Genomic DNA, 17,582 nt, shown 5'->3' with positions numbered 1-17,582 from the left:
TTGGTACTTTGTGTTTAGCAACAGCTTCCATAAACAGTTTCTCATTGCAATGGAAAGGGTTCTCATTCTTACGGAAAGGGTCTCGTAAGAACTTCATGAGGGCTGGGTGCGGTGGCTCATGCCTGTAGTCCCAGCACTTTGGGAGGCTGAGGCAGGTGGATCACTTTGAGCTCAGGGGTTCTAGACCAGCCTGGGCAACATGGCAAAACCTTGTCTCTACAAAAAATACAAAAATTAGCTGTGCGTTGATGGCTCATGTCTGTAGTCCTAGCTACTTGGGAAGCTGAGGTAGGAGGATCGCTTGAGCCTGGGAGGTGGAGATTGCAGTAAGCCATTGCACTCCAGCCTGAGTGACAGAGTGAGACCCTGTCAAAAAAAAAATGTAACAGAGTATTATCACTATTTACCAGTGAAGAAACTGAGGCTCAGGGAGATTAAATAATTTGCTCAAGGTCATGCAGAAAGCAAGTAATAGAATTAAGATGCATCCTGATCTCCAGTATTTTTTCCATCGAAGTCTACTGAATTCTCTTAATAGTAATTCAGGCAACAGAATAAGTTTTATATGGTTAATAACTTTTCTTTCTTTGAATTTATATTGATTTTGGAAAAAAAAAAAAGCTAAAAAGCTGCCTGACTCAGCCTAGGCCCACTGCAGTTTGTTAAATACATGAAGACTTGAGAATACTATATTGTTTTAACAAACAAAAGTTCCACTAAATTATTTCTTCCCTCCATTTTAGAACTATTTTAAATCTAAAATATCAGAAATCTATTTTAACACAGAGAATAAATGCAATTTGGGTTTATTGTGTTGTTTCAAGAAAAGACTTCGCTGGCTTTTTCTGGACTACAAGCCAGAATAACAGAATAGAAACAAAATTAAGTAGTTCTCTCTCTGTACCCAGGCCCACATAGTAAGTACATTGCCCATGTCCATTATAAAGACTTATGAATCTGAAAGTCAGAACACTTTTCATGCATTTTAAGCCACTAATTTACATAGCCCCTGGTTCTGCCATGATGAGTTCACCTAGCTACCTCTCAATCAGTCAATCTATATCTGGGATAGACTTAAAGACTTGAGGGATATCTAGAATGAACAAATCTTTTAGGTCACTAATTTCAAAACAAAAAATAGATCAAAAGCAAAAATAAAATAAATCTCTCCTGAGGCCACATAGAAAGAATGGGTCCCTTCAAGCTGGTCTTTCCAGACCTGAGGTCAAGCACATTATGCATCAAACATTGATATCTGAATGAAGGGAAAACAGGATTGTAGGCAGCTCTTGTTAGGTAGTTGCCAAGCAAGGGTGAGTGAGAAAACAGAATCATCCTAAAAACCAAGGATTAAAGCCAGTGGAACTATATGAGGAAGCAAAGCAAGGAACCAAGAAAGCTCACATGGTAGACCTGAATGAGAGATAAGGCCTCCTCTGTGGCCATGGAGAAGAGAATGAAGGGGCTCTTCAAAAGATGCCCATGGGCATGACTCCACTCATCTTAAAGGATCAGCCTCTGAACTTAACATCTAACAAAGGTTTATCTTGTTTGTTTGTTTTATGTGCTTCTGTTATTTTATTAAATATGTCTCTTATTCTAATCAGCCTGTTCTATAACATTGGCCAGGGCTAATGATTCTAATAGATTGAGAGATTGAATCAGACTGAGGGGATTGGGGAAGGCTTCTTGGAGGAAATAAGAACTATAATAGTTTGCCATGCTTCATTTCTCGTGTTTGACAAATTCTGGCTTCTACTGGACATAGCATTAATAGTATTAAGACTGAATTGTTTCATTGTTGTTTGTCTTTTGCCAGCTTATAAAGTTAGCATCACATCCATCACTGTAGAAAATGTTTTTGTCAAGTACAAGGCAACCCTTCTGGATATCTACAAAACTGGTGAGAATTCATTCGTTCATTCGTTCCTTCATTCAGCAACTATTTAGTACTGACTATGTGCCAGGCATTATATTAAACACAGAAGATACAACTCAAATAAGACAGAGCTCTTGCCTTTTTAAAGCTTATATTCTACTTGGGGAGAAACATTTTTTAAAGATGTTCGTATAAATATTTCTCATTGAATTCATTTTTCTAAAACTTCAGCAAAATGTTTTTTTCAATTGCGTAATTGTCCAATTTCTTTTTCTTTACAACTTTTATTTTAGGTTCAGGGGATACGTGTGCAAATTTGCTACATGGGTAAATTGCATGTTTTGGGGGTTTGGTATATAGATCATTTTGTCACCCAGGTAATAAGCATAGTACCCAATAGGTAATTTTTCAATCCTCACCCTCTACCCTCAAGTAGGCTCTGCTGTCTAGTGTTCCCTTCTTTGTGTCCATGTGTACTCACTGTTTAGTTCCCACTTATAAGTGAAAATATGTGATATTTGGTTTTCTGTTACTGTGTTAATTCACTTAGGATAGTGGCTTTATTTCTGGGTGCTGTAACCTGTTCCATTGGTCTACGTGTCTTTTTTTGTATCAGTAACATGTTGCTTTGGTTACTGTAGCCTTGTAATATAGTTTGAAATCAGGTAGTAGGAGGCATCTAGCTTTGTTCTTTTTGCTTAGAATTCCTTTGGCTATTCAAGTTCTTTCTTTGTTCCATATGAATATTAAAATGTTTTTTTCTAATTTTATGAAAAATGATAGGAATAGCATTAAATCTGTAAATTGCTTTGGACAGTATGGCCATTTTAACAATATTAATTCTTCCTATCCATGAGCGTGGAATGTTTTTCCATTTGTTTGTGTCATCTCTGATTTCTTTGAGCAGTGTTTTGTAATTCTCATTGTAGAGATCATTCACCTCCCTAGTTAGCTGTATTCCTAGGCATTTTTGTGTGTGTGTGGCTATTGTGAATGGGATTACATTTTTTTTTTTGAAATGACGTTTCACTCTGTCACCCAGGCTGGAGCGCAGTGGCACGATCTTGGCTCACTGCAAACTCTGTTTCCCAGGTTCAAGTGATTCTCCTGCCTCAGCCTCCTGAGTAGCTGGGATTACAGACATGCACCACCACGCCTGACTTATTTTTGTATCTTAGCGGAGATGGGGTCTTACATGTTGGCCAGGCTGGTCCTGAACTCCTAGGCTCAAGTGATCCACTCGCCTCAGCCTCCTGAAATGCTGGGATTACGTGTGTGAGCCACCGTGCCTGGCCTCATTTCGATTGATATAAATTTTGCAATAAGTAGGACCATAAAGCTAAATTGCAATAATATGTTTATACTAAATTTTTTTCTCTTTTGAAATTCTATCAAATATTTCAAGTCCTAAAATGCTTGATTTTTTTTCTTTTGAGACGGGGTCTCACTATGTTGTTCAGGCTGGTCTCAAACTCCTAGGCTCAAGGGATCCTCTCTCCTCAGCCTCCCAGCTTGATTATTACTAACCATACCCTAGAGTTTAAAATTCTAGTAATATTTTTCAATTTTGTATTTGCTTTATCAACACTTTGATAATTTTTTTTAAATTTTTGTTATTTTGAAAGTTTCATTGTATGAAACTTATTTGTGAAGTTATTTTATTTTTTTCTTCATTGATGGTCACAATTTTTTAATTTGCAGGCTAGTTGCCATTCTAATGAAATAAGTGTTTAGAACTTTGATGTTGCCACAGTCCAACTTTTGAGCAACATTTTCATCCAATGTTCATATTACAAGCAGTAATAAGCCATTCTCTTTTTACTGAAATAACAAAGTGCTTTTCATTCCAGAAATACAAATTATTTGTTTTATTTGATACTGATTCTTGCATAGTATCAAAAGACATTTTAGACTGTTCTGAATTTTTCATAGCATCGGATGGTTCCCAAGCTACAATTTTTTTATTAGTATCATTTCTTCTTTGTTCTCCTGTAGATCCAAAGATGCATTTTATGATATTTAAAAGGAAATGTTAAGAAACATTGGCATACTTCATCTCCTCATTCTGGGCCCATTTTTAACACATAAATTTTGAATTTTTATAAATATAAAAATACCACACACTACTTACAGAAGAATTGTGGCACAGTGACCATAAGCCATTTAGAATCAAGGGCAAACTGTAGTTTGAGGATAAGGATAAATTGGTATTTCTCCAAAGCACAGAGTGCTTAGAATAGGTAAGGATATAGAAGAATAAAAGTTTAGTTATTGTTGAAGCCCAGGGTAGTTGCCTGTTCTCTCTTCTGAATATACTTTAAATTTTCCATGATGAGAAGCTTAAAAAATAATAAGGCCCCACACAGCTACACTGCTTACTATGACAGGGGCTGAAATGGCAGATAGTACTGGTAATGTTGCTCAGATATTGACGTAATAGGAATCTACACCATCAGGGCAGCCTAAGAAATCAGCTTGAACTAATGGGTGTACACTGAAATTTATATCACTAATGAAAGTTTACCATTTACACAGTTTCTATTATACACTATTTGCCAATTGGTTCAGAAGTTTTTCAGGACTTAACAATTAAGATGACTCTGCCAGAACTTAATAGTTAAATATCAGCCCTGTATATATAGCGATAAATCAGACACAGTCCATGCCTTAAGAAGTTTCTAGTCTAGCTAGAAGGACAGATGTGGGACAAAAAATTGTGACAGAAATTCAAGTGTAAAAGAGGTAAAGAGGAGACAGAAAGATATTTAAAACAAAGAGCATCCAGGAATATTTTACTGGATACTGTGAGAATTGAAGGAGACTTTCAAGATAAATGAAATTCAAGAGGCCAACATGGGGAGGAATGCATTCCAGGTAGGGGAACTGGCTACTTGTGAGTTCTTTGAGAATCCCAAAATTACTATCTTTGAAGTTTTCCAAGTCTTTCACATTTTGTACTTTTCCACAAAGTTAACAGTTGCCAAATACCAAATAATTTTATATTTTACTATATAATGTGGAGATTAATGTTGTTCAACTGTAGAGAGGTTCTTTTAATTCTGGTTATATAAGAGTAATAATAAGTACTTACATAGTTCCTACTATGTTCCAGGCACTTTTCATGTATTAACTCATTTAATCTCACGATGGTTCTACAAGGTAGGTTTTATTATCATGCCCAGTCTTAAGATGAGGGTCTAAGGCCTTATACAGATAACATAAATCATTTTCCCAGAGTCACATAGCCAGGAAGCAGCATGCTTAGAGTTTAACCCAGGCAGTCTGGCTCCAGAGACTGAAGCCTTAACCACATGGATATCACGGCTGTCCACTAGCCATGAACCTCTCAATAGCCACGAGGAACCAGAAAACTTGAGAGTTTATAATTGTGACATTAAAACATGAATGGTATAACCTTACTTGACTTGCATGTCTCTCAGGGGAAGCTGTTGCTGAGAAAGACTCTGAGATTACCTTCATTAAAAAGGTAACCTGTACTAACGCTGAGCTGGTAAAAGGAAGACAGTACTTAATTATGGGTAAAGAAGCCCTCCAGATAAAATACAATTTCAGTTTCAGGTAAGTCACCAATATTTTTCAGTCACTGATCTTCCCTCCAAAACTGAGTATAATTTATTCTTAAATACACTACGTGTTTCTTATGGCCCTGCTCTTAACCAACAAACCATTTTGAACTAAATAATATTAATGTCAAGCAAAGAATGATTTAAAACCATCGTGGCAGCTGAGGACTTAGCTGCCTGATTAACCATCTGAGTGTCTGGACCTGATGATGAATCTGAAAGTACTCACCGGACCTCCCCTAACCACCACACCAGCTCCCTTGATAGTTCTCAGACTGTTTGTAAAGAGGAAAATGTGTAAATATGTATTGTATTATCTGCTTTTAGAAACTAGTCATTGAAATAGATGTACTTTCTGCCTTTAATATGGGAGCCCCAGGCAGCTTTACAATTCCTTAAGGGTTTGTGAACCCTCCCCAGGAGAGGCCGGTACAGAAGAGTTTGGCGGACAGCCTGACCCCTGGGGACCTGACCACAGCTGGGCTCTTATAAAATAAATCAGGCTGGGCACGGTGGCTCACACCTGTAATCCCAGCACTATGGGAGGCCAAGACGGGCAGATCACAAGGTCAGGAGATCGAGACCATCGTGGCTAACACGGTGAAACCCCGTCTCTACTAAAAATACAAAAAAAATAGCCGGGCGTGGTGGCAGGCACCTGTAGTCCCAGCTACTCGGGAGGCTGAGGCAGGAGAATGGCGTGAACCCGAGAGGCAGAGCTTGCAGTGAGCTGAGATCACGCCACTGCACTCCAGCATGGGCGACTGAGCAAGACTCCGTCTCAAAAAAAAATAAAGAAATCAAATTCAGCTTTTCTGTTTTGTGGCCACCTCACAAACACTTTGTTTCTTGGTAGGTACATCTACCCTTTAGATTCCTTGACCTGGATTGAATACTGGCCTAGAGACACAACATGTTCATCGTGTCAAGCATTTTTAGCTAATTTAGATGAATTTGCCGAAGATATCTTTTTAAATGGATGCTAAAATTCCTGAAGTTCAGCTGCATACAGTTTGCACTTATGGACTCCTGTTGTTGAAGTTCGTTTTTTTGTTTTCTTCTTTTTTTAAACATTCATAGCTGGTCTTATTTGTAAAGCTCACTTTACTTAGAATTAGTGGCACTTGCTTTTATTAGAGAATGATTTCAAATGCTGTAACTTTCTGAAATAACATGGCCTTGGAGGGCATGAAGACAGATACTCCTCCAAGGTTATTGGACACCGGAAACAATAAATTGGAACACCTCCTCAAACCTACCACTCAGGAATGTTTGCTGGGGCCGAAAGAACAGTCCATTGAAAGGGAGTATTACAAAAACATGGCCTTTGCTTGAAAGAAAATACCAAGGAACAGGAAACTGATCATTAAAGCCTGAGTTTGCTTTCAAACTGTGCTAAAAAGCCTGTTATTTTATGCTAGATCAGCTTCAACCACACAAAGACAGGCAAATTGAGAGAGATGGAGAAAGTCAGCAGTAGAGAACCTTAACCTTGAGCGGGCTTAGCCTCAGAGCCCTCAGCGCACTGAGAAGGTAGGTGGGTTTGTCCCTGCCCCCTCCCCGTCCATTGCCCTCTCCATACCCCTGAAGGGAGACCCTCTACTCTCTTTCCCTCCCTTCCGGCACATGTTCATTTCCCCCAGGAACCTGCTCTCGCCAACAATTGCTTTACTAAAAGACAGGCCCCAGTGCAGCAACCTGGTGAAAAGAAACTGAGTGGCGGATCGGGAGACCTTTCTCCAGCCCTAACCAGGTCTCTCTCTGAGCCTCAATTTGAGCTTTATAAAAGAGGATACATAACAGAAGTTAATTTTTAAGTGACATTTTGCAGCACTTCAGATCATATTAAAAAGCTCTCGCATATATTCTCATTTAATGTCTCAAGCCTCTCACAAGATTCAGAAATTATTATCATTATCATCCCCATCTTACAGATAAGAAAATTGAGATTTAGGCCTGGCATGGTGGCTCAAGCCTGTAATCCCAGCACTTTGGGAGGCCAAGGCGGGCAGATCACTTGAGGTCAGGAGTTCGAGACCAGCCTGGCCAACATAGTGAAACCCCATCTCTACTAAAAATATAAAAATTAGCCAGGCTAATTTAGCAAGCCTGTAATCCCAGGTACTCAGTAGGCTGAGGCAGGAGGATCACTTGAACCCAGGAAGTGGACGTTGCAGTGAGCCGAGATCATGCCACTGCATTCCAGCCTAGGTGACAGAGTGAGACTCCATCTCAAAAAAGAAAAAAGAAAAAGAAAAGAAAATTGAGGTTCAGAAAAGTAAAGCAGTTTTCCCAACCTAGTAAGGAAAAGAATTGGAAATCAAACCCCAAGACTCTATCTCAGTTTAAATACATCTCTGTTCCACATCACTACATATTGCTTGTTGGGTTGAATTTTCTAACAGTAAGGCAGGATATAGTAGAAGTTTCTTAGACACAGATTAACCAGCCCCACTGAACTATCACAGGAAACATGAAGATGACCTCCGGATGTAACGGTAATTAACAGAGACTGGAATGCATCTCCTTTTGAAGAGTCTGCTTTTTACTAGTTAGGTGAAGCTACACAAGGCCTTGTAGTGTGCCTTTGTAAATAACACTAAGATTTTCCACTTCCAGGGACTAAGGACTTATTTTTCTCTAATGTCAAAGCTCACATTGTAGGCACTCCCTTGGCAAAAACAACCAATGTGTCATGTTCAAGATGCCCACACTCCCTGTCAGCGAGGGGTGAGGAGACCTTCTCCAGAGCAGGCCTCTCGGTGTCTCCTGTCACTTCCTTGCTGGGAGGAGGGAACCACTGGTGCTGCTTCGAAGGCACAGGAGTCTGACTGCCTTTTCCTGAGCACTTTGGCAAATAGGGCAGGCCACAGTGGCCTAATTAACCCACAATGCAGCTGTCAAATATCAAAGAAGGTTTTGTGAATTAGCCTGGCACCATTTAAAATATCTGCCAGCTCCTCTTCAGCTAACTCCTATGCATTTGAACATATTTTCTCAGTGAGGCTTTTGTGACCCTCCAAACCAGGCTGGGCCCATTACCCAACCCTGCACTTCTCCTCCAAGGCACTTGTGCTCTTGCAATGATTTACTTAATCAGATTGAATTATTAGTTTAGCGTGACCACACTGAAAGCTCCACTTAGGTAAGGTCTGAGTCTGTTCTATTCGCCAGTATCTCCTGTAGTTGGCACAATGTCGGGCACATCATAGGGACTCAATAAGTGTTTGTGGATTCCCCTACAGTGTAGAGAATCAGAAGACCCAAGTTCTAGTCTTGGCTTTGGCCCTAATTGGCAGTGATTTGGGACAAGCCTCTTAATCTCTTTGATAGCCTATAAAATAAGGGAATTGGACACTCTAATGTCTCTTTTATCTATAGCTAAGAAGATGTTCTATAATCTTATGATGTGAAACAGGAAAAACCAAACGGCATATAAGCATCCAAATATTGGGCTTATGTATTTCATTCTTTCTTTCTCTCTTTTTTTTTTTTTTTTTTTTTTGAGACACAGTTTTGCTCTTGTTGCCCAGGCTGGAGTGCAATGGCGCAATCTCGGCTCACTGCAACCTCCGCCTCCCGGGTTCAAGCAATTCTCCTGCCTCAGCCTTCCAAGTAGCTAGGATTACAGACATGTGCCACCACACCCAGCTAATTTTTTGTATTTAGTACAGATAGGTTTTCGCCATGTTGGTCAGGCTGGTCTCGAACGCCTGACCTCAGGTGATCTACCTCCCTTGGCCTCCCAAAGTGCCGGGATTACAGGCGTGAGCCACTATGGCCGGCCTGGGCTTACATATTTTGTCTGTAAGTATGGAGACAGTGCAGAGAAGTAAGCTGGAAGAGCTGCCAAGGCTTTCTGTAGAAGGACACTGGGATTTGGGTAGGTGGGAGGTACAGGGAAGGCCTTTCTGGTTAAGGGGCAACGCTTAAGGCAGGTTTCCCCAGGGGTAAGCAAGATGTTCTTAGGTGATACGATGCACATTGTTCACTTTAGTGGCTATATGTTTATTTTAACATGTATTTTAAAAAAGTAATTAGCACATCAAAGCCATGATGTAACATTTTCTTCCAAAATAAATCTATTTTCCAAGAAGTAAGTCTATTTAAGAAAAAGTATTGAGTAAATAAAAGTAAGTTTATTCTTAGGGCAAAAATCATGCAGTTGGCATGCAAATGATTGACGTTTAAGATACTCTGTCTTAAGAAAACACGTGGAGGTCTGTGAGCCAAGGTTGAGGCAAGCAGCCTTGCTCCATATTTCTCAGTGAGAAATTCTGGACCAAAGTCATGTTTAGTCTTTCTTTCCAGACCCTATGATGCTGATGTATTCAGCAACACCCAACAAACATGTATTGATTGGTGACTGCAGGCTAGGCCCAATTCTAGGTGCTTGGTACCAAGATCCCTGCCATTGTGGAACATAGATTCCAACTGGGAGAGATATGTAATAAAAAATAAAGAGAATAATTAAGCAATTAGTCTTGGATCTCAGAAAGTGATAAGAGCAATGGGAAAAAGAAAAAGCAGACTAAAGGAGACTGGTAATGGTCAGGGGAGGGGTTGCAGTTCTAAATAGGGTGGCCAGGTCAGGGTGGGCTTCAATGAGAAGGTGAAATTTGAGCAAAGACTTGAAGGATGTGAAAGAGTGAGCCACATAGCTAGCCAAGGGGAGAGTGTTCCTGGCACTCTTGGTACATAGTGTCCGGCCTAAGGCAGGAGCATGCTGGTGTGTCACAGGAAAAGCAAGGAAGCAGGGGTGGCAGGTGCAGATTATGAAGCCAATGGAAGAGGCTTTGGCTTTACTTGGAAGGAAACAGGAGCCATTGCAAGGCTTTGAAAAGAAGAGTGACATGGTCTGTCTTGCCTTTTTAAAGGACTACTGTAACTGCTGTTGAAAATAAGGCAAGGGTAAAGAGAACGGATAGGAGGCTACTGTAATAAACTAGGTGAGGGATGATGGTGCCTCAGACCAGAGTGGTAGCAGTGGAGGTATTGAAAAGTGGTTGAATTCTGGATATACTTTAAAAGTAAATGATACAGTTTGGATATTTGTCCCCCAAAATCACATGTTGAAATGTGATCCCCAGTGTTGGAAGTGAGGCGAGGTGGAAGATGTTTGGGCCATGGGAGTGGATCCCTCGTGAATGGCTTGGTGCCCTCCCCATGGTAATGAGAGTTCTTACTCTGTGAGTTACCACGAGATCTGATTGTTTATAAAGAGCCTGGCACCTCCTTCTAGCTGGTTGCTTCCTCTCTCACCATGTGCCACTTAGGCTCTTTTTTCCCTTCTACCATGACTGTAAGCTTCCTGAGGCCTCACCAGAAGCAGATGCTGGCACCATGCTTCCCGTATAGCCTGCAGAACCGTGCGCCAAACAAATCTCTTTTCTTTATAAATTATGCAGCCTCAGGTATTCCTTTATAGCAATACAAAAGGGACTAATACAGTAGGCTTAATTGAAGGGACTAATATTGTAGGTTTAACTGAATTCCCTGATAGAGTGGAAATAAGTGTGAGAGAAAGAAAGGAGTCAAGGATGATGCCAAGACTTTTGGCCTGAACAACTGGAAAGATGGAGTTGCCTGAGATTAGGAAGGCTGCAGATGGAGCAGGTTGTGGGGAGTTAGGAATCTGTTCAGTTTTGGATGTGTTGAATTTTAGAAGAAATCTATTAAACATCCAAGTGAAGGAGCCTGGAAGGCAATTGGTCATATAGTTATCTAGTTCAGGAGAGAGCTCTGGGCTGAAAAACATAAATCTGAGAATCATCAGCATACTAAAACCATTAGACTAGTTAAGATCACTAAGGATGTGAATACAGACAGAGGAGTGGAAAAAAAGAAGACCAAGGATAGACATTTTGAGCATTCCAAGATGAAGTTATTAGAGAAAAGAGATAGAGGATCCATTGAATTAGGAGAAAAAACAAGAGATGAGGTCCCCTCAAGCCAAACAAAAGAAAGAGGTTCTGGGAGGAAGAGTGTTGAACTGTATCAAATGCTTCAGAGAGAAGTAAGATGAAGACTTGGCTGTTGGGTTTAGCATTGGTGACTTTGACAGGGCAGGTTGGGTGGAGTAGTGGGAAGAATAGCCTGAATAGAGTGATTTAAGAGTAGATAGGAGGAGAGGATTTGGAGACAGGGAGTATGGACAACTCATTCAAGGAGCAAAGAAATGGATTGAGGGGAGTAGAGTGAAGGAAAGTTTAAGACGGAAGAAATAACACATTTGTGTTCTAAAGGGAATGACTCAGTAAAGAGTAAATAATTGACGATGCAGGAGAGAGAAAGGAGAACTACTAGAGTAATGTCCTTGAAGAGGTAAGAGTGGATAGGATCTGGAGCACAAGTGGAGGACTTGGCTTTAAATAAGAACATGACTAGCTCACCTATGCCAGGGGTCAGCAAACTTCTGTAAAGAGCCATGCATTAAAATAACTGTAATATTTTAGGCTTTGTGGGCCATAATTCTCATAAGTCTCTATTGCAACTGCTCAACTCTCTCATTGTAGCACAAATGCAGCCATAGATAATGCAGAAAAGAATGGGCATGGACTAGGCAGGCTGGATTTAGCCCTTGGGCAGCAGCATACCGATCCCTGATCCATGACCCATGGTTGTAGGCAGAGAAGCTGAGCACATGCAGCAGACGCTGGCAAGGGGTAGATGTGGTGAGAGTCTGTGGAAGTCCCTTTCTCAGAGAAGTAGGATGAAGATCATCACCTGAGATGGAGGATAGGGAGGAGCAATTGGAGGTGTGACGGGAGGAAAGAAGGGTGAGACAGTTATCTAAAAGAGAGGGAGGCTGAACCAACTAAGGACTTGTAATATATTTGCTTCTTCGTATTAAGGGTCCACTTGAAGTTTCTAGTCATGAATTTAAAGTGGGACTGATCAGCATGGGTTGTGGGATTTTCTCCAGCCACATACACATCCTTTTCAGAATCTAATGAAAGCTATAGACTTATCAATTCCCTCCAATCAAGACAACCAGGAATACCTGGAACTGAACAAGTTTCAGTTTATTGAGTCTTTGCAACAAGGGAGAACACACACCATGGGGACCATAAGGCTTCTCGGTGAGAGTGCATTAGAAAAGCCTTATTATAGGATTTGTACTTGTGATAGAGTATTTGGGAGGAGCCTCAAAGAAATGGAACTTTACTCTGGATTGGATGCTTTCAGGAAGCAGGGGCAATCCTATGACCCAGTATCTTATTTCTTTTCTAGCTGGGAGGAAAAGTAGCAGCACTTACTCACTTTAGCCAGGAAAAGGGTGTGTGTGGTCATTTTTGTGGTTTGGACAATGTTCTTGTTTTTATATCCTGCTCAAACATGATTATAGAGTAGTCGTTTTTAGTATGGATCCATTTTGTCTGATGTTGATGTTCTATGACATCAGACACAGAGAACACCCCAGCCTGGCTCTGGGCACCAGACTGGCTCCCAGGGACACCGAGGCCTCACGCCAGTTGTCCAGGGCCACTCTTCTCTTTCACAGACCCCTGTCCCAGAAACATGCACATACACACACCATGCTCACAGCCTCATACCTGACAGAGGCCCCCCGCCACCAAAATTCCACTCCTTCTCTGTTTCCATCATTATAGTCAGATATGTGTATGTTACATGCACAGTCATGAATTATACAAATCTAAAATGCCCACACCAGAAAGGACCTAGAGCTCATCTCATCCGATTCCTTCATTTTTTGCCTGTGAACATGGAGGTCCAGAGGAGCAGCTTGTCTAGGATTATGGTGCTGATAAATGGAAAGGCCAGGACAGAAGCCCAAGTGAGGCCTCTGAACACCGCATTCTTCCCACCACTGAGATGAGCAGGAGTTACAGAGACACCAGTTTTGGCTCCCTGTGAAGAAGCATTTTCTTATAGCCATAGCCATTCAAAAGTAGAGTCAGGTCCAAGTTCCTTATTGCTGGGGCCATCTGAGCAGAGTCTAGCTGCCACCTTCCAGGGATGTTTCTGGGCAATTCAAGGTAGGGGGCTTAATGTCCCTTCAGTGCTGAGAGACTTTTAATAGTCAAGAAAACATCTACTTGACTGCTTTAATAAAAAGGTGAAGTTTTCACATCTGAAAAACAGAAGTACTAATAATACCCAAGTCAGAGGATTTCTGCAAGGCTCAAATGAGATAATACAGATAATGCACATAAAATGATTAGCACAGTGCCTGGCACAATAAAAGTAACTTGTGGCTGGGTAATAATACCTCTCTGGCACACTAGAGGTGGTAAATTCAATAATTTTTTACCTGTGAACATCCTACTTAGATTCATAAAATATTGACATTTAAAGATCCTCTAGAGATCATCTCATCAATGCCTCCCCATTTCACAGACCAGGAAGCAGGCCCAGGGAGGAGCCAGGACTCACCAAGAGGGTTCCACAACAGAGCTGGGGCTAGAACCCGCAGCACCAGGCTCCTCTGCCTTCCTATATGCAGCCTGGTGTCTCCTCAGGGCCTAATAGAAACATTGCCTGCAGGGGCAAGCAGAGACCCGAGCCTGGTGGTGAGGGCCAGGGCTAACATGTCTAACAGATGAGTTGGGAGCAATCAGAGGGTTTTGGTGTTGTTGTTGTTAGGCTGGAGGGGTGTGTGTGTGTGTGTGTGTGTGTGTGTTGGTGTTGGAAGGGTGGTCGGTGGGAGGGGGGTTGAAACTGAATGAGACAAGAGAAATTGGAGTTAAGGAAAGGATTGTTTGGCTTAATAATATATTTTCCAAATAAAGAACCTTTAGGAAATTAGAGCCAGGACTAGACTGTAATTCTCTGAGGGCAAAGGAAGAGGAAGGGAAAGGAGATATGCTTAGAGTTGGAGGAGAAGGCAGAAAGGTTTCCTGAGTCTGTTAGGGCCTTGGGGCAAGGCTGGTCGTCATTCATCCTCTTCTTGCCTCCTCCTTTCACCTCTAAAGGCGAAAGGCCAAACTGTGGTCTGTTCATTAAATAAATGCTGGGTGTCGAAATTAAAATGGCTCACTGATTTGGCTATGTTGTGTGTGTGTGACTGACAGACAGAGAGAGAAAGGAGGAGTTAGTATGGGGAAGTGATACAGTGAAGAAGTAAGACATTGAACCATGAAACAGAGGAGCTGCCCTGACTTGTGGCCTTGGGAGAGTTCCTGAACCTCATCAAGTCTCAATTTGCCCATCTAGAAAGCGGAAGTAACATTATCAGCCCTAATGGGTTATAATGATTAGGAAAAACACCTTAGTGCCAACTCAGGAGCCCACAATCTGTGGCAGTCAGCTGGAGTGTGATTTCCAGCTGTCTTAACTCTCTAGGCCTCAGTTCTATCTTTTAAAAATAATGAAAGAATTTCCCCCAACCCAATTTACAGATTTGTTGCAAGGATGAAATAAGATCCAACAAGTGAGAGAAATTTTAAAATGTAGAATCTTGCACAAATATAAACATAGCATTAAAAACAAAAAGCATCTTTGTGCTAAGATACCATAGACAGAGACTGCCTGGTGTGCTTTTTTAAAAATTGGGAAAAGACCACTATCTTAAAAAACAACCTCCTCCAGTGCCTCGAATTTTCCCATTTGCCTTCCTCTTTTGGTCCTCAGGACTGTCAGCCTTAGAACAATGCTATACAAAGTGTGGTCCCTGGCCGCCTGGGAGTTTGTCAGGAATGCAAATTCCCAGACCCCACCCCAGACCTACTGAAACAGAAAATCTTGGGAGCAGAGCTCGGAGATCTATATTTTAATAAGATATCCAGGCCTGGCGTGGTGGCTCACGCCTGTAATCCCAGCACTTTGGGAGGCCGAGGCAGGTGGATCACGAGGTCAGGAGATCGAGTCCATTCTTGCTAACTCGGTGAAACCACGTCTCTACTAAAAATACAAAAAAATAGCCGGGCGTGGTGGCGGGTGCCTATAGTCCCAGCTACTCGGGAGGCTGAGGCAGGAGAATGGCGTGAACCCGGGAGGTGAAGCTTGCAGTGAGCCGAGATTGCGCCTCTGCACTCCAGCCTGGGTGACAGAGTGAGACTCCATCTCAAAAAAAAAAAAAAAAAAAATCCAGGAATATTATAGGCATGTTAAAGTTTCAGAAGTGTTGTTTAAGAGCTTGTGAAAGTGCAGGTTCTCATTCTATAGGTCTGGGATGGGTCATCCTGTTAACTTTTGTACGGTTTTAATAATTTTTCTTTTTTTCTTCTAATTACCATAATTTTATAATTACAGGTTGAGCATCCCAAATCTGAAAATCCAAAATCTGAAATGCTTCAAAATTTGAAACTTTTTGAGTACCAACATGACACCACAAATGAAAAATTCCACACATAAGTACTTAACACAAACTTTGTTTCATGTAAAACATTGTTTAAAACATTGTATAAAATTACCTTTAGGGGATGTATATAAGGTATACATGAAACATAAATGAATTTTGTATTTAGACATGGTCCCATCCCCAAGATATCTTATTGTATGTATATGCAAATATTCCAAAATCTGAAAAAAATCTGAAATCTGAAACACTTCTGGTTCCAAGCATTTTGGATAAGGATTACTCAACTGGTACCTTAGTCTGATTAATTTATTCTCAGCTTCTATGTATTAGTTCTTAGGGATTCTTTTTTTTAACTTCACCTTTTTTGTAATGTTCCTAGCAAATGTTATTCATGTTATTTCACTTTTTAAAAATTATGCCATTGCTCTAGTGGCGGAGCAGGAAGCAAAGGAATACAGGGCCAGCATGCTGCTGAATGGGCCTGGCAGCAGCAGAACTACGTGAAGAGGCCTCTGTGTTCCTGGAGGTTTATGGACAGAGGTCCTTGTGTAACTTAATGTTCCAGATCCCGTGTCCTAAGCAGAGTAGCTGCAACCCAGAAACAGCCTCTGCAAAGGAGCCTTCAGTACCAGATCCAAGCCTCACTTTGTGTCCTCACTCCCACTTGCTCATTGGCCCCTGACCCAGCCTTCAGGATTTCAACAGCAAGCCGAAGAGCAGGTGCTCCTGTCAGCTTTTCTGCTCACTCTGGCTCCTGTGGCCAGACCCAAGTTCATACAGCAGATCTTTCCTGCCCTGCGTGGGCCTTTGAGACGCTGTGGAGGGTGGGCCTGCTTGGTTGATTACTACTGCTGCTGCTTCTAGTTCCATTGACCCACCAGGGACAGCAGCTCTGATTCGGCCTATGCCTGCCCTCCGCCACCTCCCTCCTTCCTTTCTCCCTTCCCCTCCCCCCTCTCCCACATACCAGAAATCACTGTCTTGGCACTTGGGATTTGAAAATTTGCCCAACAAATGAAAACTGATCTTATCTGTCTGCAAAGCAATTCGACAATGCATTTCAGGAGCCAAAATATGTTTATATTTCTTGATCCAGTAATCCTTCTCCTGTTGAATGATTTATATAAATTCCCAAAAGGAAAAAAAAATAGTTGGTACACAAAGATCTTCTGTGGAAGATTATTCATTTAATAAATATTTATTGAGTGCCTCCTGCATGCCAGGCACAGTTCTAGATGGTGTAATCAAGATAAACAAAGTCCCTGCTCTCCTGGAGATTATGTTATAATTGAGGAAAAAGACAATAAATACCCACTTAAAGAGGGAAAATAATATATTTACTAAATTCTCTGCAGAGGAATTTTTTTTTTTCTTTTTGAGGTAGAGTCTCACTCTGTTGCCCAGGCTGGAGTGCAGTGGTATGATCTTGACTTACTGCAATCTCCGCCTCCCAGGTTCAAGTAATTCTCCTGCCTCGGCCACCTGAGTAGCTGGGACTACAGGTGCGCACCACCATGCCCAGCTAATTTTTCTTCTTTTAGTAGAGACAGGGTTTCACCATGTTGCCCAGGCTGGTCTCAAACTCTCAACTCAAGTGATCTGCCTGCCTCGGCTTCCCAAAGTGATGGGATTACAGGTGTCAGCCATCGCGCCTGGCCTCTGCAGAGAATTTTTTAAAAGTTCTATGATATAGAATGACTCAGTGGCTGCTCTAGATTGCATGGTTAGGGAAGGTCTATCAAATATCACTAAATAAGGTGGCATTTAAGCTGAGATTTTCTTGACAAGAAGGAACAACCACATGAAGGTCCAGGCTGGTGCGTGTAAAGACCCAGGGGTCCAGGGAACAGCGAGA

The 17,582-nt window shown here is 41.5% G+C and overlaps 1 protein-coding gene and 1 long non-coding RNA gene across 3 annotated transcripts in view, besides 1 other annotated feature; both read left to right on the top strand.

Annotated features, from left to right (window-relative positions):
• C5 (complement C5) overlaps positions 1-6,853 on the top strand; it is a 122,531-nt gene extending 115,678 nt beyond the window's left edge. For both annotated transcript variants that reach the window (NM_001317163.2, NM_001735.3), the window contains exons 39-41: positions 1,820-1,903; positions 5,320-5,458; positions 6,320-6,853. In NM_001317163.2, the coding sequence (NP_001304092.1) occupies positions 1,820-1,903; positions 5,320-5,458; positions 6,320-6,449 (353 nt within the window). In that variant the 3' untranslated portion in view covers positions 6,450-6,853. The remainder of the gene's footprint in view (positions 1-1,819; positions 1,904-5,319; positions 5,459-6,319) is intronic.
• Positions 6,357-16,936, top strand: C5-OT1 (C5 3' UTR overlapping transcript 1). The gene is made up of 2 exons (NR_148450.1): positions 6,357-6,996; positions 15,679-16,936. It is a non-coding gene; the product is annotated as a C5 3' UTR overlapping transcript 1 (long non-coding RNA).
• Positions 14,293-14,342: an enhancer, noted in NCBI's record as "active region_28912". NCBI's record gives its function as "activates an Ori minimal core promoter by ATAC-STARR-seq in GM12878 lymphoblastoid cells {active_cell/tissue: GM12878}" and the evidence as "EXISTENCE:reporter gene assay evidence [ECO:0000049][PMID:35858748]".
• Positions 16,937-17,582: the final 646 nt, after the last annotated feature.

This window comes from Homo sapiens, chromosome 9 (assembly GCF_000001405.40).
Source record: "Homo sapiens chromosome 9, GRCh38.p14 Primary Assembly".
In the NCBI taxonomy this organism is placed as follows: Eukaryota; Metazoa; Chordata; class Mammalia; order Primates; family Hominidae; genus Homo; species Homo sapiens.
The sequence above is the reverse complement of the archived record's forward strand: the minus strand, read 5'-3'. Positions and strand labels throughout refer to the sequence as shown.